Source organism: Homo sapiens, chromosome 21, assembly GCF_000001405.40.
Source record: "Homo sapiens chromosome 21, GRCh38.p14 Primary Assembly".
Lineage (NCBI taxonomy): Eukaryota > Metazoa > Chordata > Mammalia > Primates > Hominidae > Homo > Homo sapiens.
Genome location: NC_000021.9, coordinates 6,211,372 through 6,233,417, shown reverse-complemented (window position 1 = coordinate 6,233,417; position 22,046 = coordinate 6,211,372). Strand labels below are relative to the sequence as shown.

Here is a 22,046-nt window from a genome sequence, read left to right as displayed (position 1 = left end):
ATTTATGAAAAATATATATGTGTTATTCATACATGGAAGCAATATAATGACAATTGTTTTAAAATTTCAGATGTTTTACTTTCCTGGCACATCCAGGTTTTAGAGCAGGCAGCCTGAGATTTCAAAAATGAGGCAATTCTCTAAGAAATAATATGTGAGGCACATGTGAATTTTAAATATTCTAGTAGCTACATTTTAATAAATACACCAGGCATGGTTGCCTGTTCGTGTAGGTTGAACTGTTTGGGAGACTGATGTGGGAGGATCATTTGAGGCAAGGAGTTTGAGACTAGCCCAGGCAGCATAGAGAAAGCCATCTCAACAACAACAACAACAAAATTGAAAAATTAGCCATGCCTGGTGTATGCCTTCAGTCCCAGCTACTCAGAAGGCTGGAGCTGGAGGATCACCTGAGCCTGGGAGGTCAAGGCTGCAGTGAGCCATGATCACACCACTGCACTCCAGCCTCACTGACAGAACAAAACTCTGACTCAAAAAACTGATCTCTGGAAAGGCATTTTCTTTTTCTGCAACGTAGCCAAATAGCTAAATTTGTATTGAAGCCATCCTTTAATTTTTAACAGGGCAAGAATATTTTCTAAGACCCCGAACTCCAGATATGCGATGGGGCAAATCCTGAAGCGTACATGGCTATCTCTCACAGCTAAAGCACCCCTCACCCCTATCCAGCGCTTCTTACCCCTGGCGCAAGAGAGTCACCTGCGGGGAGGAAAACTATCAAAATCCCTTAAACCCAAGTTGTAACCGCACAACTAAATCAGAATCCTTGGAGCTGGATCTGAAAAAAATACGGTTGAAAGTTGTGCAGGTGATTACAATGTGTAGGCAAGCCAGAAAACCATGGCTTTAACGAGCAGCTTTTGTTAGAAATGATTTCTCAAATGAATGTAAAAACGTTTGCTGCTGAATTGTGACCTTTCAATTTTACCTGCTTTTCCTGCAAAGTATATTTTGCAGACCCAGGCTGGCTTGTCCTTCTGTTCATGGTTCACCCAGTGCCGTGTGTGCTCAGTGCATCCTGTGCACGGGTCACTGTGCTGTGTGCGCTGGCCGGGGTGAGCATCATTCTTCGGGGAGAACCTTTCTGAAAACAAAGCTGCAATCCAAAAAGTTAAAACCATGCTACTTACTGTACTGAGGTAAAAATTAAAAGACCTAGGGGACTCTTCCAAAAGTTAAAACGTAAATAAATATCTTGGAACATTAATATACACCTGACGATGTCCTGAGTGAACACGCCCCACTTTAAAACAAAACAAAACATTACTATTATTCTAAAATATTAATTTAGGATTGTTATGCAAATATGTACTATTTAAATATTTATTGATGAATAACATGCATACAGCAATATAGGAACAAAATATTTATGGAATGCTTGATGAATTATTACTAAATAAATACACTTGTGTATGTAAGAATCAGATTTGCTCATGCCCTTGACACTTTCTCCTTCCCAAAGGTAACCAAGACCTTAAGAGCTAAGTGTAGATAAACTTTGTCATTTTCTACACGTGTTTTATTACAGAACATTAAAAACGTATACATAATACAAAAAAAGGATAACAGACCAGTCACCCAGATTTAACAGCTACTAGTCATGTGTCATTTTTGTTTCACCTATACTTCCAGCCATTTCCACCCCAATTTCATTATTTTTTAGCCTTTTTGGATAAAATGTATATTCATTGCAAGGTACAATGTGAACTGTGAATAGTAGAGAGATGGGGTTTCACCATGTTGACCATGCTAGTCTTGAACTCCTGTCCTCAGGTGATCCACCTGCTTCGGCTTCCCAAATTGCTGGGATTACAGGCATAAGCCAATATACTCAGCCTGAGAATTTTTTCATACTTCTAAGAAAGTACAAATCCATAGGGCACATGAGAACTGCAATGTCTATCTACAGTAAATACAGTTTGATAAATAAAATGAAAGGCAATTGACCTAAGGTGAAAAGAAAAACAAAAAACAATCAAAGCATGGGTACTATGTGTCATCTGTAAGAGCATTTGGTTAAGAATAACAAACAAACCAGTTTTATCGTTTTAATAGCCGAAATTGGCAAAATTTCTAGTTTTTCTTTCATAGGAATGCTCTTTGCAAGAAAAAATTTTCATATAGTGAGAGCAAAAATGGCAACCATTTGCAAGTAAATGTCTTATGAAATTAAGTAGCAGATATCAAGCTCATGACCTTCAGATAGTTACCCCTAACTCAATCACTTACATAGCAAGTGCAGATAATTTTCATAGCTCCCTATTAAAATTATATTTGAATGCCCTTACAAATTGTGACTGTTTTTAAATAAAGTTGACCAACTAAAATTTTGTATATGACATATGATAAATTCCCCTTCAAGTCACCTTACATTTACTTAATTTTATTAGGCAGTGTCTGTCTACCACCCAATAATACTTGACGATTCTCCCTCCATTTGCACAGGCATCATAGCTGGGAAACGGATTCACAAGACCCAGGCTGTTCCCTACATATGTTTCCTCCTCCGACATCAGTTCATCAGTCAATCAAGCCATGTGAGAGTGGAGGCCTTGTATTCCCTATTATTCTTGGGCACTCTACTCCAAGTAGGAAAAGGCCAGGAGGTCCTGTTAAAGGATGCACTCAGAGCCCGGGCTCCCTAACATATGAGAGTGCTAACCAGCAGGTGTAGACTTTTCAGGAGTGAAGAATGAGGCAGGCATTCCAAACCTGGACCTTCATCACCTTTTGTTTCATCTCAAGACAATTCTGAGGGACTGTTTTGGAGCGTGTCTGGAAGGTGAACCTTGAAGAAGAGTGTGGGCTTTGATGTGACTCAGTTGAGATCTTTCATGGGGAGGCAGGAATTCAATGCCCAGAATCTGGGCTGGTGTCTTTGAGGTCAGTAGGTTGCGTCTTTGTATCCAAGTCCATTGTTACTAGGTTGGAGGCTGGAGATTCTAAATGGCTTCCAGACCATCTCTCTGATTCTCTTTGGGAGATGGGGTCTGAAAGACAATGTCAGTAGTTTTGGGAAATTCTAGAAAGTGTGCTTGGAAACGTGGGAAGAGCTCTTGCCTAGTGCCTAAATGCTCCATTTGCAGCTCTAGCCAAGTAGATACTTGGTAGGTATAGAGCCGGGTTTGCGTTTATATCAGCAAAACCTATGTCAGAGTTGAAGAAGTAGTCAGGAAAAAGCGTCTTGGTCGCAGGCCGGGGAACATCTTAAAAGCAAACTTCTAGCCTGCTGACTCTTGGCAATGAGTGTTGGATCCTGGCTAAAGTGCCTTGAATGCAGCATGAGGCCAATCCATGAATCCAACTTCTCATGGAGAAATGTTAATATTTTTTCAGTTTGAATCAATCAGGGTGAAACTACCATGCTATTGGTTTGCTTACTTTTTATTATTTCATGTAAAATCTAAGACAAAATACATTAAATGCTTATTGACATATGTATTTATTCTTCACCAGGCTGATAATATCTGCCTAATTTTAAACTTTCTTCCATTTTGTAGGTTTCAACTTATTCTATTGTAAGATACTGTTAAATCTAATAGAGGCATTGTCACTTTTACGTATAATTTTATTTTATTTCATATATTTCCTATTGGCTTTTTACATTTAAATTATGGAGCACTTCATCATATAAAAAACTTCAATTATATTTAAACAGTAAGTCTTTGGATTTTTTTGCCTTGTAATTTCCATATTACATAATAATGAGATAAACATTAATGTTTTCAGGGTACTTTAAATTTTAGATAATTACTCATTGTATTCATGTGAAATTTGTTTTTACTGCATGTGTGGGTTGGAGGACTGTTTTCACTTCTGATTCATCTTTACTCTTATCTCATCAGAGCTCATACCTCTTGTAGTTGGGGGATTGCAGTTTATAATTCCAATAAATGGGGCAAATTCAATAATAACATAATACAAATGAGTTTGAATGCAGGACAGGTCTTCAAAGCATACACAACATGGGCCTACATATGTACAACAATAATAATTTATAAGTTACTGTTTGGATGGAAAGTAAAAGTACAGAAAATTTGTTAAAGGAAATTAAAATGGAGATCATGTCTCAATAATCTCTGAGCAGACAAAATTAGTTAGGTCTCATAAGTGATCTCAACCTCGCTTGATTTGCAAATACAAACAAAACTTAAATTATTTCTTGTAGCTGCATATTGAAAAAAGAGAAATGAAGCTCAACCAGTCAGAAGTAGCCAACAACCTTATATAAATAGAAACTGTCCAACAAGGTAAACAGACAAACAAAAAACAATAAAAAAAGTTGTGCTACCACCAAATGATTTCTTTGTTTCTACATTTTTCAAATAAATACTTGCTTCTTACACTGTCAATGAAGCACTCAATATCTTTCCGTCTGATATTTTATAATTTATCAATTGCTCTTACTCAAATAAACACTTTGCAATTTCATTGTGTCTCAAATTACTTTTTAGCAGAATAAACTAGGAATAAATATTACAAAAATATCTACGGAATATGGAAAAAACATAGAAAGTTTATGAAATATATGAATGTAGACATAAGCAAATAGACAATTTGTATCATATTCTTAGGCAGAAAAACTCAATATTATCAACATCAATTGTCCTTATAGTTATTTATAAATTCAATTTTGTTCCTATACTGATACCATTAAATATTGCAAGTACACGTTACTATAAAATGTTATATAGATGAAAACACAAACAAGAATAGACAAGAAAACTCTGAAAAAAAAAAAAACCACTGGCAAGCCCTGTGTAAAATCTTGATTGATTAAAAAACTCATGGATCACTGAAACTAAAAATTCAGAAATAAACCAAAGTGTCTAAGAAAGTGTCATAGTGCATCTTGGCTGCTATACCAAAATACCTTAGACTGGGTAAAGGATAAATAAGAGAAATGTATTTTTCACAGTTATGGAGTCTGGAAAGTGCAAGATCAAGGCAGCAGCAAATTTCGTATATGGTGAGAGCCCTATTCCCCATAGATGGTACCATCTCGCACATGGGACAAGGGCATTCCCTTCAACTTCCTTTGAAAGAGCACTGATTCCATTCATGAAGATGAAGAACTCTTGGCTTCACCACTTTCCCAAAGGCCTCACGCCTAAAATTATACACATGAATTTGAAAGGGGACATAAACATTCAGGCCATAGCAATAAAAACTACATGGGTGATGGCATCATTTATACATGAGGTGTAAAAATGTGATGTTCTTATCACAAAGGAAATAAATGATTTATTCTTCATGGCATATATCAAAATGAAGGTCCAATGAAAATATTTTTTATGAAGATAAATCTATATGGCAAAAAATTAAGTATTGATAAGTTTAACCCTACAGGTTGCATCAGGATTTTCAAGGTTTCCAGGGATGAGCAAGGCCCTGGAGTTTCCTCCTGTGACATTTTCCTGAAAGTTGCTCATGCTGTTATTCAATTTGAAAGTAGATAATATTGTTTGTTTCTCTTCCAATATTTACTAAATTCAAAATAATATAGGGCTCTTTACTCATAATTCTCAAACAATCATTCAGTCAGTGGGGCTCTGCTGAGGAAGAGCACAGACACATCCACACAAGTATAATGTTCCTCAAATAGAGGACTTCTCCTTGTGCTGGAGCCACCTATGTTGCACTCGATCAGAGGCTTTCCCAGGATAGCATTTCTCTGCAGCCCTACCTCAGTCTTAACCCTGAAAATCCCACTCAGAAGGCGACGGATGAACACCCACCCTAGCATTCTAATCTAATGGATCCTCTCTTAACAATCCCTTCCAGGGATCTGGGATCTTTCCTGGATTCGTCGGCCACACACACCTAGGCTCAAAAATTTGGACAGAAACTTTGATCCTCATTGGCCCTCCTGCCCTGTCCTACCAGCTTCTCTAGAAGTATGCTTCTCTAATTGCTCCTTAGAGACACTATCTAAGGGTATCAACCTGTGCCAATATAATTGATCTCATAAAGTGAGAAGGGAAATAGGCAAGAGTCCAGCTAGCCTAGAAGCAGTGTCTAGGGTTCCTTACCTGATTTATGTCTCTGATTTACCTAAATATTGACAAATACAGATTCACCTCTAGGCAGTAGAAAAACAGAAGGAGAAATCCCAGTTCGTAGAGGAAGAAGAAAATGCAATCAATGCTGTCTAGAGTCCCGCTTAAGCTCAGCCACAGGGTACTAAGTCTCTTCAGGAAAAAGCAATTGTTGTCCATCATCTGAAAAACTGTGGCCTGGAACCATGGGCACCGAGAGTGCACACTGCCCACTAGAGTTCCATGCCTACATCACGGAGAGATAGAATAGTCTCAAAGGATTCTTAAGAGTAATGTGGGGACCAAAAGGAGATGAATCCACAGCCTCTGCCTTACCGTCTGATCTAACTAATAGTATTTCCAGACCTTTCTGTGGGCTGCACCAGGGGTTGTTCAGAAAGAAAAAAAGTTGTTAATGTCCCACCGTTTCCCGTAGCTTCCGAGGTCTGTGTTGTTCATACCCCAGGTTCCAGGTTGTTCTCCCACTACTTCCACAGAATCAGTGTGTCTCATTCCGGTACCTATAATCTCATCTTTATTCTAGTCGCCCTCTACTTTTTTCTAGACACTTTATCTACTAGAGCCAGGTAAAATAGAGACAAGAATATTTACATAAAACTTAGCTGGAACTAAGTTGGAGTCCCATAACTGCTACTAGGCTGAGATGCAACTCAGAGGATACAAAAGCCAGGCTTGCCTAGAATTGCAGTTATGGGAAAGAAAGTCACATTTCACCCAGGAATTATTAGCACGAAATTCCAAGTTTGTGAAATAGATTCCTAGATGATTCCTAGATCCCCCAAACATTTCATCCTTATCTTGGAGGCAATCAGGAAGAGAAAATAAACCATACCTAATCAACAAATTATCTAACCAGCATGTGTGGAAAAGGAGGGAACATCATAGAGTTGGCTTGTTTTAGTACGTGTGGTGAAAAATGCCGCGAAGTCAGAGCTCAATTGGTCTCAAAAGCCTAAAAGATGGCACAGATTAGCTTCACGGGACACATGGTATGGATGGTGTCGGCATACTGTTATGCTGAAGATGTCAAGAGTGGTGACTGATATCTCAAGAAGTGGGCCAAAAGTCCACTTCTGGTTACTCTGCTTGGTATGGTCTAGGAATTCTTCAACCATGAGACAAATAGGTCAACTTTCACCAGCAACCCCAAGTCTGGTTTGCAGTATTAGACTCTGCGTTAGACACAGATTTAGGTTCAATCTGCAGCTTGATTGTTGTCACTCTCTAGAAAACAAACCCTTACCATGGACTTCTAGATGAGTGATCCAGTTAGATCAGCATCTGAGATTGTCTCCAGTTTGCAGCCCAAAAGATATTCAGACAGTCTACAGTTTCCATTGTAGATAACCAAACAGATAGAATATGTGCCATTATCCCAAACCCTGAGTTCTGACCTTTGAGAGGAGCAACCACTCATGTCAGGTTCTGTATGGCTGGCACAGGTTAAACAGCCACAGCAGCCCAGTGGACATCATGAGGTTTCACCTTCCCTGACTCATCTATGAACCAGGACCAGTCATATAGGAAACACTCAGTAAATTGGGGGCCCCACAGAGACAGCATCTTTGCTTCAGAGGATAGAAGGAGGCATAAAATTTCAACCAGCTGGGGATGCTCTAGCCCTCTATGGGTGAAACTGAGTTTGTCAGGAGTTCTGCAGCAAGCTCTTAGCTGACTTTCAAATCAGTGTAACCAGTAGTGTGTCACTGAGTCCAAAAGCCCAAAGAACACCTCTGGGAGGAGGCTAGTCCTTTACTAGAGGCTCCAAATGCCAAAATCAAGATTTTCTTGACCTCAGGATGAATTGATCAATGCAAATCTCCCCAAATATTTTCACTAAACCTTAATTGGAAAGTAAGACTCCAGATTTTTTAACTCTCACTAAACATAAATATCTGATTTTTTCACCTGAGATCTATGTATGTGTGTTGGAGCATGCCTTTACCAATCAGCATAAAGTTACATCTCTCCTTGAGCCTCTACTTTCTACTTGTGCAGAGTTTAAAATGCAGAGGTGAGAGCTTAGGGTTTTCTGGGTCTTTTGCTAAGCATGTACCTGACCTTGAGCATCCCCAATTCCCCATTTCCTTCTTGATCCCAAAGACCGTTATCACAGTCTTAATTCCCAGCAGCTTTTCCTCCTAGAGCTTTTTGACATGATTATTCTTAGACCCAACTGATATCCTTCGTTCCTGGTAGACTGCGTAGCTCATTTCCATTTAAATGCTTTTAGAAATATTAAACTATGGATTTAAGATTTATCTGCTTTTTAAATTAAGTAATGCTGCTCTTAGCCTTCCACAGGACTTGAGGGTTATAAAAAAAAAGGAAGAAAATAATTATTTTATACCAATAGTATGAAAAAGAGACTGGGAATGACTATATTAATAGCAGACAAAATAGACTTAAAAACTTAAAAGAGACAATAAGACATTATATAGTCATAGATTGTCCATTTGGCAGGAAGATAGAAATAGTTTAAACCCATACCTAATAATAAAACATTGAGATATAGAAAGCATAACTTGACAGAATTAAAGGGGCAAAAAGGCAGTTCTAAAATAATAGTTGAAGATGTTAATACTCCACTCTGAGTAATGAATAGAAAAATGAGATAGATGATAAATTAGGAAATAGAGTTCTTGAATAACTCAATGAACCAAATTGATCTAACAGATATATACAATATACTCCATCCAACAAAAGAGACTACACACTCTTCTCAAATGCACATGGGGATTTCCCCACGATGGGCTGTGTAGTAGATCTCAAATTAAATCAATAACAGAAGAAACGTTAGAAAGTTTACAAAACTGTATAAATTAAACAACATACCCTTAAACAACAAATAAGTAAAGGAAGAAATCACAGAGGAAGTTGGAACATACTTACAGAGGAAGAAAAATGAAAACAAAACACATCAAAAGTTAAGGGAAACAGCAAAAAGAGTGCTAAGATGTAAAGTTTGCAGCTAAAATGCATTTAAAAAGAACAAAGATTTCAAATAAATAATAACTTTATCACCTAGTAAATTAGAAAAATAACACCAAATTAGATGCAAAGCAAAGAGAAAGAAGAAAATATTAAAGCTTTTAGCAGAGATAAATGCAATGGAGATTATACAAACCACAGAATTCCAAAAAACCAAAAGTTCATTCTCACTTCTTCAAAAAATTAACAATTGGCAAACTTTCAGCTACACACACAAAAAATTAACAGCATATTCACATACTAAAATGAGAAATGAAAGTGGGACATTACTACTAATTCAAAGAATTAAAATGTTTAAAAAACTGTACTGTGAACTATGATAGGATGATAAATTGGAAAACGTAGATAAAGTGGGCAGATTCCTAGGTATACAAGACTTGATTACAAAGAAATACAAAATCTGAATAGATACAAAACTACTAAGGAAATGGAATCAGTAATTAAAAGCCTCTTCATAAAGAAAAGCCCTTATTTTGTTGGCTTCACTAGTGATTTAGATCAAGCATTTATAGAACAAAAATCCTTTCCAAAGTCTACCAAAAGCCTGAAGAGAGCAGTTCCAAACTTATTCCATGAAGCCACCATTAGCTCATACCGAAGCCAGACAAAGATACTACAAAAACCCATAGACTAATATCCCTTATGAACACGGATGCAAAACTAGTCAGCAACATCCTAGCTAACTACATTCAGCAGCATACTAGCAAGATTACAACCCATGACCAAGGGGAGTTTATTATTGGAATGAAAGGAAGTTTTAGCATATGGGTGGTTTCAGTGCAGTGGTGTTTACAAATAATTGATCACAACCAGTATAGATTTCTTTATTCTTTTTCCAGTCTCACTGGTTCACTTAGCTAGCCTTTCTTAACAAAAGTTTAAGCATATGAAAATTAATCAATGCATATGCCACATTGACAAACTTTTTAAAAAGTATTCTCTCATTAATACAGATAACGTATTTTACAAAATTCAAAATATTTTATAATAAAAACAATAAATTAGGAATAAAAGGAAACCAGCTTTGTAAAATTCACATATAAAAACCCACAGCAAACAACATATTCCAGAGGAAAAGATCAAAAGTGTTTCCTCTAAGCTCCGAAGACAGAGTGAATATCTGCTCTTGCTAGCCACTTTTATTCAACACTGTATTAGAAGTTTCATTCAGAGAAATTAAAAAAGACAATGAAATAAACTGCATCAAAATGTGTACAGAAAATATATTCTTATATGTAGAAAATCTTTAAGATTCCACCAAAAAATATTACAACTAATAAATTCAGCTGAATAGTAGCATACAAAATCAACATACAAAAACAAACTGCATTTTATGTAGTAACATGAATAATCTGAGAAGAAAACTCTGAAAACAATTCAATTTACAATAGTATCAAAAGAATAAAGTAGTTAGGAAGTAACGAAGAAGTAAAATGCCAATTACTCTTGTGTAGATATTAAAAAATCAATTTTTAAGTTTATGGGGAATCTCAAAGATCTTTAAATTGCAAAAATAATTTTGAAAAAAATACCAAAGTTAGACAAGTCACACTTAATGATTTCAAGACTTACTACAAAATTCCAAAATAGCATGCTACAAAGAGACTAATGGAGTAATATAGAAGGCCCATATAAATAAACCCTCATATATAAGGTCAAATGATTTTTATGGGAAATGAACTGCCTTTACAACAATTAGTGCTGGGGAAATTGGGTGCCCACATGTAAAAGAGTGAAGCTGGGCCCTTAACTTCTACTATAAGAAAAAATTAACTAACTGGATCAAAGACCTAAATGTAAGAGCTAAAACTACAAAATTCTTAGTATAAAATGTAGGTAAAACACGTCATAAGGCTGGATTTCGCAGTGATTTCTTTTAACAGGACACCAAAAATGCAAGAAACAAAAGAAAAATAGATAAAGAGGACTCTATCCAGAATATACAAAGAACAATTCAGCAATAATAAACTACTTGTTTAAAATATGGGCAAAATACTTAAACAGATATTTCTCTAAAAATTATGTGAAGTGGCTTATAAGCCCATGAAAAGGTACTCAACAAAACCTTTTCATTTTCATTAGTAAAATGAAAATCTAACCCCAAATGACATATCACTTAATGCACATCAGCATAACTAGTACAAAAAGAAAAAAAAAACAGAAAATCACAAGTGTTGGTGAGGAAGTGGAGCAGTTAGAACCCTTGTACACTTGGTGGAAATGTAAAATGCTGCAGCTGCTATAAAACAACACCATAGTAACGAAATAATTTACACTCAAAATCACCGTATGATCCAGCAATTTCACATCTTGGTATGTTGCAAAAGATGTGAAAGCGAAGACACAAAATAATACACGTACACCTAAGCTCATAGCAGCATGACTCACATCACTCAAAAGGTTTTTGAATTACCTGTGTTGTTTGAATTATCATCAATGAATAAATAGATAAAATGTGATTTATACATACAGTGGGATATTATTCAGTTATGAAAAATAAGGAAATTCTGACACATGGTACGTCATGCATGAACCTTAAGGACATTGTGCAAAGTGACATGAGCCAGTCATAAAAGGACAAATACTGTATCATTCCACTTATGAGATACTTAGAGTAGTTAAATTCTGGAAACCCACGTAGAAGAGTGGTTCCTAGGAGCTGGAGGGGGAGTAACAGGGAGCTGTTATTTAATGTGTATTGAATTTTGGTTTGGAAGTTGAAAAAAGATCCTTATGAATGGGAATAATAGTTGCAAAACAATGTGAGTGTAGTTAATTTCTCTGAGCTGAACACTTAAAATAGTTAAGATGGTTAATTTTATGTATACTTTGCCAAAATGTAAAAAATATTTTTTAAATAAACAAACTATAGCTATCTGCAATAGCATGAATTAATATCATAAATATAAAGTTGCCTAGAAGAAAGTAGATGTAAAAGTATACATATTATATAATTTCACTTATATAAAATCCAGAAAGTGAACACAACTGAGGTTCTGGTTTCCAGTAATAATGAAGTAGACTAGTTCGTTGAATAACTATTTCACAGATAACAATAATAAAGCTTAATAAAATACTATATTTTGCTATATAGAAAGGCACACTGTTTAGAAGACTGAATGAAGATTTTATCTATGCCACTGTGGAAGAGATAAGGATTGGGGTTTGAATCTATTCAAATTAACTCCCTCTTAAAATAATAATTTTCAAAGAAATACAACAGAATCCAGAGTCCCTGTAGTTCCTATCACACAATTTAAAAATTCATGAGATGTGTGAAGAAGCATGAAAGTGTAATCGATTCACAAGATAAAAAGCAGACAATAGAACCTATTCTCAAGATGTGCAAGATGCTGTAATCAGTAGATAAGATTTGAAAGAAGCTATGGTAAGTACGTTCATGGGGGTAAAAGAAAACAGTCTCATGACAAGTGAACAGAAGCGTAACTGTACATTTCATGCGCGTCCGTGTGAAGAGACCACCAAACAGGCTGTGTGTGAGCAACATGGCTGTTTATTTCACCTGGGTGCACGCGGGCTGCGTCCGAAAAGAGAGTCAGCGAAGGGAGATAAGGGTGGAGCCGTTTTATAGGATTTGGGTAGGTAAAGGAAAATTACAGTCAAAGGGGGTTTGTTCTCTGGCGGGCAGGAGTGGGGGTCGCAAGATGCTCAGTGGGGGTGCTTTTTGAGCCAGGATGAGCCAGGAAAAGGACTCTCACAAGATAATGTCATCAGTTAAGGCAAGGACCGGCCATTTACACTTCTTTTATGGTGGAATGTCATCAGTTAAGGTGGGGCAGGGCATATTCACTTATTTTGTGATTCTTCAGTTACTTCAGGCCATCTGGGCGTATACGTGCAAGTCACGGGGGATGCGATGGCTTGGCTTGGTCTCAGAGGCCTGACATACACTCCCAGTCTTTTGGTCACAGGGCTGTGGGACTGAGGAGGGAAATTAAAGAAAAATAAAATTAAAAAGAAAGAGAAATAAATTTTCTTGTATTGGGCTGACTTGTCCCAGAGGCTTCAACAGGCACAGCCCAGAACCAGGAATAGTCTTGATAATATTATCTAATGTGCTCTGGAGGCTCTCCCAACGCTCCCCCAACATCGGGAAAAGAAAAACAAATTTCCTTTTTTTACGGAATGAGTTTATAGATTCTTGTTCTCTGTAACTAGTGACTTCAAGTATTCTGTTTTATCTAAGAAGTACAATGTAAGTCATGAGAAGCCTGAGTAGGCTGAACTACAGCTGTTTGGGCACCATAGTGAGGGTTATAGGATAAGCCCATGCCCAGGGAAACCTAGAAAATGGACATGTGGGTTGCTTGGCAACGGTCATGTGCAATCCTGTCTGTCCTGCCTCTGTATCCCTGCTTTCACGCCACTGTAAACTTGCTTCAAGCTAGCCCACCACCTTTTGTGAAATGTGCATAAAAGTCAGGTTCTGTCTTTGTTCCGGGCCCAGTCTTTTTGATGTGAGTTAGCTTGTCCTCAGTTTCATGGGGGTCCGTGTGAAGAGACCACCAAACAGGCTTCGTGTAAGCAATAAAAGCTTTTAATCACCTGGGTGCAGGCAGGCTGAGTCCGAAAAGAGAGTCAGCAAACGTAGATAGGGATGGGGCCATTTTATAGGATTTGGGTAGGTAAAGGAAAAAGGGGGATTGTTCTCTGGCGGGCAGGAGTGGGGGGGTCACAAGGTACTCAGTCGGGGAGCTTTTGAGCCAGGATGAGCCAGGAGAAGGAATTTCACAAGACAATGTCATCAGTTAAGGCAGGAACAGGCCATTTTCACTTCTTTTGTGGTGGAATGTCATCAGTTAAAACAAGAACCGGCCATCTGGATGTGTACGTGCAGGTCACAGAAGGTACGATGGCTTAGCTTAGGCTCAGAGGCCTGACACTGAGTGCACTCAATAAAAATTCTCCTGTTTCAACCCGGGGTCTCTCTCATCCTCCTGAATCCCGCAACGGGAGAATTCCAGCATGCACCAGGTTCACGGGACAGTGCGCGGTCACTGAAAGAAGAGTGGGGCGGGGAGGGTGGTGTGCGGCTGTGAGCACCTCTTGTGCTTGCTGGGAGATGTAGTCTTATAAAGACTCCCAGCCCTTTGGTCACAGGGCTGCAGCACCCCAATTCCAGCATACACCGGAATCAGAGACAGTGCGCGCCGGCAGAGGAAGAGGTAGAGCTGTGCGTGACTCGCTGGGCTTGATGGAAAATGTAATCTCATGAACACTCCTTAATGAACAGTGCGCCTCACTGGAGGAAAAGGCGGGGCTGTGCAGGCCTTGCTTTGCTTGCTGAGAGATGCTGTCTCATAAACACTCCCAGCCCTTTGGTCACAGGGCTGCAGGACTACATTCCCATCATGCACCGGGATCAGGGATAGTGCATGTGCCTGGGTGAAGAGACACAGTTTTGCGCGCCTCCTTTGGCTTCCTGGGAGATGTAGTTTCATAAAGACACCCAGACTTTTCATTACAGGGCAGCAGGACTACAATCCCAGTATGCACCAAGATCAAGGATAGTGCGCGTAACTGCAGAATGAGGCGGGATTGTGCACGCCTCGCTGGACTTGGTGGGATATGTATTCTCATAAACATACCCAACCCTTTGGTCATAGGGCGGGAAGACTACAATCCCAGCATGCACCTGGCTAAGAGACAGTGCCTGTCACTGGAGGAAGAGGCGGAAGACTACAATCCCAGCCAGCACCGGGCTCAGGGAAATTGTGCGTCAGTGGAGGAAGAGGCGGGGTTGTGTGCTACTCGCCAGGCTTGCTGGGAGTTGTATTCTCATAAAACCTCCCAGCCCTTTCATCACAGGCCTGAAGGACTACACTTCCAGCCCCAGCATGCACTGGGCTCAGGGACAGCGCGCGTCACTGGAGGAAGAGGGAGGGCTTTGCGCTTCTAGCTGTGATTTTTTGGGAGATGTAGTCTCATTAACGCTCCCAGCCCTTTGGTCACAGAGATCCAGGACTGCAATCCCAACATGCACCCAGCTCAGGGATAGTGCGCTAATCACTGCAGGAAGAGGCAGGGCTGTGTGCACCTCCTGGGCGTACTGGGAGATGTATTCTCATAAACACTCCCATCCCTTTGGTCATAAGGCTGCAGGACTACAATCCTAGCATGCACCCAGCTCAGTGACAGTGCGCTAGTCTAAGGAGAAAGAGGCAGGGCAGTGTGCGCCTTGCTGGGCTTCCTGGGAGATGTAGTCCCATGGCCTCTCCCTGCCCTATGGTCACAGTGCTATAAGACTACAATCCCAGCATGCACGGGGCTCAGGGAGAGTCCACATCACTGCAGAAAGAGGGGCAGGTTGTGCGCACCTCGCTGCGTTTGCTGGGAGATGTTGTTTCATAAAGACTCTCAGACCTTTTGTCACAGGGCTACAGGACTACAATCCCAGGATGCATCGGGATCAAAGCAGTATGCGACACGGGGAAAAGATGCGGAGCTGTGTGCGTCTCCCTAGGTCTTCTGGGAGATGTGGTCTCTTGGCCCTTTGGTCACAGGGCTGCAGGACTACAATGCCAGCATGCAGCGGGTTCATGGACAGTGTGTATCACTGGAGGAAGACGTGGAGCTGTGCGTGCCTCGCTGGGCTTGCAGGGAGATGCAGTCTCATAACTACCCCAGTCGTTTGGTCGCAGGGCTGCAGCAGTACAATTTCAGCATATCTCTGGCTCAGGGAGAGTGCACTAGTCACTGGAGGAAGAGGTAGGTCTGTGCGCACCTCTCTGGGCTTGCTGGGAGAGGTAGTCTCATAAACACTACCAGCCCTTTCATCACATCGCTGTAGGACTACAATTCCAGCATGCACGGGGCGCCGGGGCAGTCCGCCTCACTGGAGGAAGAGAAAGGCGTGTGAGCGCCTTGCTGGGCTTTCTGGGAGATGTTGTCTCTTTATTTCTCCCAGCCCTTTGGTCACAGGGCTTCAGGACTACAATCCCAGCATGCATCCTGCTCAGGGACAACGCGCGTCACTGTAGGAAGAGGTGGACCTGTGCTGTTCTCGCTATGCTTTTTGGGATACGTATTCTCGTAAACACTCCCAGCCCTTTGGTCACTGGGCTGCATCACTACAATCCCAGCATACATCGGGATCAGGGAGAGTGCGCTAATCAGTGGAGAAAGGGGCGAGGCTCTGCACACCTCGCTGGTCTTGCTGGGAGATGCAGTCTCATAAACACTCCCAGCCCTTTGGTCACTGGGCTGCAGCGCTACAATCCTAGCATGGACCGGGCGCAGGGAATGTGCGCGTCACTGGAGGAAGAGGCAGGGTTGTGCACGCCTCTCTGGGCTTGGTGGGAGTTGCAGTCTCATAAACACTCCCAGACCTCTCATCACCGGGCTGCAGGACTACAATCCCAGCATGCACCCGGCTCAGGGAGAGTGCGCATTACTGGAGGAAAAGTCTAGGATGTGGATGCCTCCTTCTGCTTGCTGGGAGATGTAGTTTCATAAAGACTACCAGAACTTGTGTCACAGGGCTGCAGGACTACCATCCCATTATGCACTGGGGTCAGGGACACGGCCCGTCAGTGGAGAAAGAGGCGGGGCTGTGTGCGTCTCCCTCGGCTTGCTGGGAGATGTATTCTTATAAACACTCCCAGCCCTTTGGTCAAAGGGCTACAGGACTACAATCCCAGCATGTGCCAGTCTCGGGGGCGAGGTACAGGCCTGGAAGAAGGGGCCGAGTGGTACACGCCCTACCTAATATGCTGGGAGCTGTAGTCTGTTAACTGCTCTCAGCCTGTTTGTCGGTAGGCTTCAGAACTATAATCACAGCATGTACCGGGACCCGGGGTGCATAGCCCTGGAGGGAGGGGCAGAGCGGTGTGGACTTCCCGGTGTCCAAAGCACTGCTGAGTTCTTATGCTATGCCGACTCTTTGCCAAGGAGAATGAGTACATAGGTGGACCTAGAGGACAGGTCTGCGCTGAGCATTGAGGAGGGTATTACCCTACATAGGCACCTTACCTTTGCCCAAATCGGGCGGGTTGTCCTCAACTGATTGGCCCTATCCTTCTCAAGTTCCTCTTTCAGCTGCACCCAGGGTTCTTCCCAGAGCATTGCGCCTTCTGCAGCCCAGGGCGCTGCCTTCTTTCCTAAACTGCTGTGGAAACTGTCCTGATGTCTGAGACACTGTCCATTGTGCCGCAGCCCTCTTTTTTCTCTAGCCAAGCCTCATGCTCAACAGCTTTTGAGAGAAATCTTCCACGTGGCCTGCTTATGAACAGCTTCAGAATTCTGTAGGGGGTGACAAGGTCTGTGGCTTCCTGGAAATGTCACTGTCAATGGCGCCTTTTTCACGAATGTGAAAGTTGAGGCATCAGGAAGGTTAATTATTGGGTTGCACAAAATCTGCTAAGAGCAAAGGAGAAAACCCCATTTCCGAGGCATGAGTCTTGTGAGCCATTTTCATCAACCCATTTAAGTGGACAAGCTCCAAAATGAAACCTGAAGCTGCTGACTATTTAGGCATTTTACACTTGAAATCATCGGTCTCATCTCAAGTCACTCCTGACTTGCCAGTGTCTCAGAAACACAAATGGGACCGGATCCCTCAGGAGCAGATAGTGTTCCAGCTTTGTTGGAGCGACATTTAAGATGTGGAGCACTTGGGGTCGTTTGAAACCCGCTATCTTCAGTAGGGACTTTTACTTCTAGAGAACATGTGCATTTTGATTTTATCTGTCCTCAAACTGAACTTTTGCTCATTTTAATAGTAAAAACACATTCCTAGGTGGAGACTTAAGATGCTAATGAGACATGCAATGTATGCACAAATATGTACAGTTAGTGCACATGTGCACCCAGAAGACCACTCAAAACATGCTTACACTAACACTTCTTTCCACCTTCTTATGAATAATCGTGCAAAACCCCCAGAAGGAGGGTTTCTCCAGTAACAATTAATGGTGTCTCACTCTTATGAGCAGCCTGCCCTGGAATCTCTTTCTCAGAATGTACCGTCTATTCTGCACTTAATTTTCAAAGTAGTCTTTTCTTTTTTTGTGTGCAATAAATTACTCTATGCTGTACTTCTTTTGCTGTGTGTTTCTTGTTTGAATTCTTTTAAACTAAGAAAATAAGAATCAAGGTATTACATCAGCCATCAACATTTCTTTTGCCATGGCCTGGAGAGAGGTCTGTCCGCTTCACTGATTTCACTTTCCCTTTACTTGCCGTGAATACTGTGGCACTTCCAGACTACCTGGTTAACTATCGCTGGTTCTTCCAGCACTGTTTCACTAAAGTTCTGGGGAAACCCTGTCCCTTTAGGCTTTATGCATTTCCCAGCTCCTTGAAATTGTTCTTCAACAGGCTTTCTTTGCTGAACAAAAGATGCACAGTCATGGATAGGCCCAGTCATAGGGATTGAATCTGAGCATTGCAGGTGTTATAATTGGGCATCATAAATGGCAAACCACTGAATTAGGGAAAGGCTTGTCAGCCAGACATCTGCCCCCCAGCGAGCAGTGGGGGTCATCTCGGCAGGGCTGGAGATGTCCAGCGCTGGTGAGAGCTAGGACGGTGCATGGCAAATGCCTATGACCTCCTAGAGCTTCAGTTAATGGGGTTTCAAGGGGATGAGTTGGACAACTTGGTGGTTCCACTTGGCTCATGGGGCTGCCCACAGCCTCCTGGACTTTAGTACATGTTCTGTCGTTTGCAGGATTCTCTCGGCACCATGGGAATCACTTCCTCTACTGTCACTGAAACACACCTGGGATGTATATTTAAAAATTGAAACAGCTTTTGGCTAAATGAAGCAAAAAAACAATTATCTTCTTTTGTAAAACTATTTAGCCTGCATACAGATTAGCTGACAAAACATGGCTGGAGAATGAGACTGTGAAATTTAACACCATCATACAGCTAGATCTTTTCTGTAGTAATCAGGGAAAATGGTCTGAAGTATCCTATGTGCAAGACTTTCTGGCCCGACAACAAAACCCAGCTCCATGCAGCACCTGTGGGCTAAAGCCTAGTAAGCCACAAAGCCCCTCAGATCCAGTAGAAGATCATTTGTTTTATGGACAAGTGACCCCAGACCCCACAGCCTAATACCAGCTCCAGATAGGGGCCCTCAGAGGCCTACACCTGCTTTAGAATCCCCAGCGTCCCCACACTATCAGAGTCTTCTGTAGAATCTAAGCTTGTTTCACCTCCTCCTTATGCTCCTCTATCAGCCTTTGCCAGTTACAATAGAGACCAGTCCAGCTGCAGTTACTCACAGTGGAGCTTCACACCATGCAGGGCCAGAGAATTTGATCCGCTTACAGAAAGTCTCAAATGGAGAGAGGACCATCAGAGTGCTTCTTCTCTTCCCAGTAAATGATCTAATCCAATGTAAGCAACAGCTCTGATGGCTCTCAGACAACTTCAGCGCGTTTACTGAAGCCTTCCAGTCTCTAACTTTGACCACCATTCAACTTTACCATCCATAAATGGACCCAATGACTGCTGCCAACTCAGCTGCACAAAACTTTTTCTTATTTGCGAAAAATAGAAAAGACTTAAAACTTTTGCTGCTTTCACCATTTTAAAGCAGAATACTTTTGCAGCACAAATGTCACCATAAGGTGGAGCCTTGGGAATCCAGTATAAACTATCTCAGAAAATCTCAGTGTGTCCCCAACAGGCAGCAGAGGGCCTCAATAGACTTCAACAACATCTGGACTCCATGGCCACTGCATTCCAACAAAATCAAAGAGCCTGGGATCTTCTCCCAGCCAAGCAAAGAGGAACATGTTTATATCTAAAAGAAGAATGCTGTTTTTTGAGATCAATCATTCTGGTTTATTCCAAGAAAATATTAATAATATCATCACCCAGGCAGACAAAATTGAATCTCTAGGAACTTCCATGGGAACATGAAAGCAATGTCCATTGCCTGCCTTGCTCTCTTTAATAGTACCCGTCATTATTATATTTTCAACTTCTACTTTTGTTCCAATTTTGTTTAAAATGTTAACTGATTTCCTGCTATGTTGCTTGTGGCAGCTCCATGTTTGCATGATGGTTTGCAAGGCTTTCAATCTTTGGCTGCCAACATCTTCCCACTGGTTCCACGAATGACATGGTTTACACCCTGTTAGATCACACAGGAAGAAACTTTAAGGCCCAGGCTAGGCAGAAGTAACACCCACTCAGCAGGAAACAGCTCCAGAAAAAGTGGTCTAACCCCTCAACCTCCAATATGGTTATTGCCCTAAAATCTCTTAGGGGGAAATTGAGGCAGAATAGATAGTACAGAAAATGACCATGATCTCAGGATACAGAAACCATGGTGACTGTACAGCCAACACAATAAGCCGTAGCATTCGCATTGTAATTGGGCTTATTCGAGCAAAGCTATCCTCATTAAGGACTTTCTGTTCTAGAGAGCATGTGTATTTTGATTTCACCTGCCCTCAAACTTAAATTTTGCTTATTTTAATAGCAAACAATGCACCCCCTAGCCAGGCACGGTGGCTTATACCTCTACTCTCAGCACTTTGGGAGGCTGAGGAAGATGGATCACTTCAAACTAGAAGCTCGAGACTAAACTGGCCAACATAGAGAAACCCCGTCTAAATTAAAAATACAAAAATTAGCAGGGTATGATGGTGCATGCCTGTAATCCCAGATACTCAGGAGGCAGAGGCACGAGCATGGCTTGAACTCAGGAGGCAGAGGTTGCAGTGAGCAGAGATCACACCACTGCACCCCAGCTTGGGCAACACGGCGAGACTCTGTCTCAAACAAACAAACAAACAAACACACAGAAATACACTCCTGGGTGGAAATATAAGATGCTAACGAGACATGCAACATATGAACAAGCATGTACAGCTACTGCGCATATGCACCCAGAATACCACAGAGAACATGTTTACTAGCAACTCCTCTTCCCTCCTCCTTATTAATAATAATGTAAAACTGCCATAAAGGGGTTTCTCCAGCGACAGTCCACGCTGTCTCACTCTTATGAGCAGTCAGCCCTGGAGTATCTCTCTCAGGGTGTACTGTATTCTGCACTTAACTTTCAAATATTTTCTTTTCCAATAAATTATGCTGTACTTTTTTTCTTTGTGTCTCTTGTTTAAATTCTTAAAATCTAGGAAGACAAGAACAGAGGTATCACATCAGTTGTCAACACAGCAATAAGTCAGCCTCCTTCTTGTAAGCATAGCCCATGCAGAAAAGGAGAGTCGCATCACCTCGGTGCTGGATCCAGAGGTATGTCACAATTTATCCCATGCACAAAGTTAAGGTCATTGAGGAGAGTCGTATTAAATAATTTCTGGGCCCAGGGATTTGTCACAACAGCTCCTGTGAGAAGAGATCAGGCAGCATAATCACATAACCGGTGTGCTGGACACAGCGATAAGCCACCTTTCATCTGTGGGCATGACCCAGGCAAGAAAGAAGAGTCACGGCATTTAGGTGCTTGCTGCAGAGGTACGTAACAATCTCTCTTATGGGCAAAGCTCAGGTAAGAGAGAAGAGTCAAATATCCAAGGTGATTCATGTAGAAATTTGTCACAAGAGACTTTTTAGGCAGGGCCCATGTTGGATCTTCTTATCTTCCAGAAGTTAGGTACAGGGATATGTCAGAATACCCAAAATACACAGGGCTCAGTCAATAAAGAAGAGCCACATCACCCAGGTGCTGGGTCTAGACATATGTCACATCTCTTTTATGGGGAAAGCTCAGGTAAAAAAGGAAGGTCATATCAAATAGTTGATAGACCCAGAGATATGTCACATTGCCTCCTGCTTGAAGTGTCTAGGCCAAAGACTCACATCACATTGGTGCTAGGCCTGTGTTCATATATAAACATTCAACCAGAGTTAAAATGGTGGCCCACATCTAAACTCAGCTCATAGGCAAGGGATGAGTCTCCTATCCTGACATAGTTAATTGTAATGATGTTGACTCTCATCCCTGGGCCTAATGCTACAAGTATGATC

At 41.2% G+C, this 22,046-nt stretch overlaps 1 long non-coding RNA gene across 6 annotated transcripts in view; it reads left to right on the top strand.

Annotated features, from left to right (window-relative positions):
* LOC102724701 (uncharacterized) overlaps positions 1–4,452 on the top strand; it is a 441,766-nt gene extending 437,314 nt beyond the window's left edge. For all 6 annotated transcript variants that reach the window (XR_001755106.2, XR_001755113.2, XR_001755107.1 and 3 more), the window contains one exon: positions 2,467–4,452. This is a non-coding gene — a long non-coding RNA (uncharacterized LOC102724701). The remainder of the gene's footprint in view (positions 1–2,466) is intronic.
* The last annotated feature ends 17,594 nt before the right edge of the window (positions 4,453–22,046 follow it).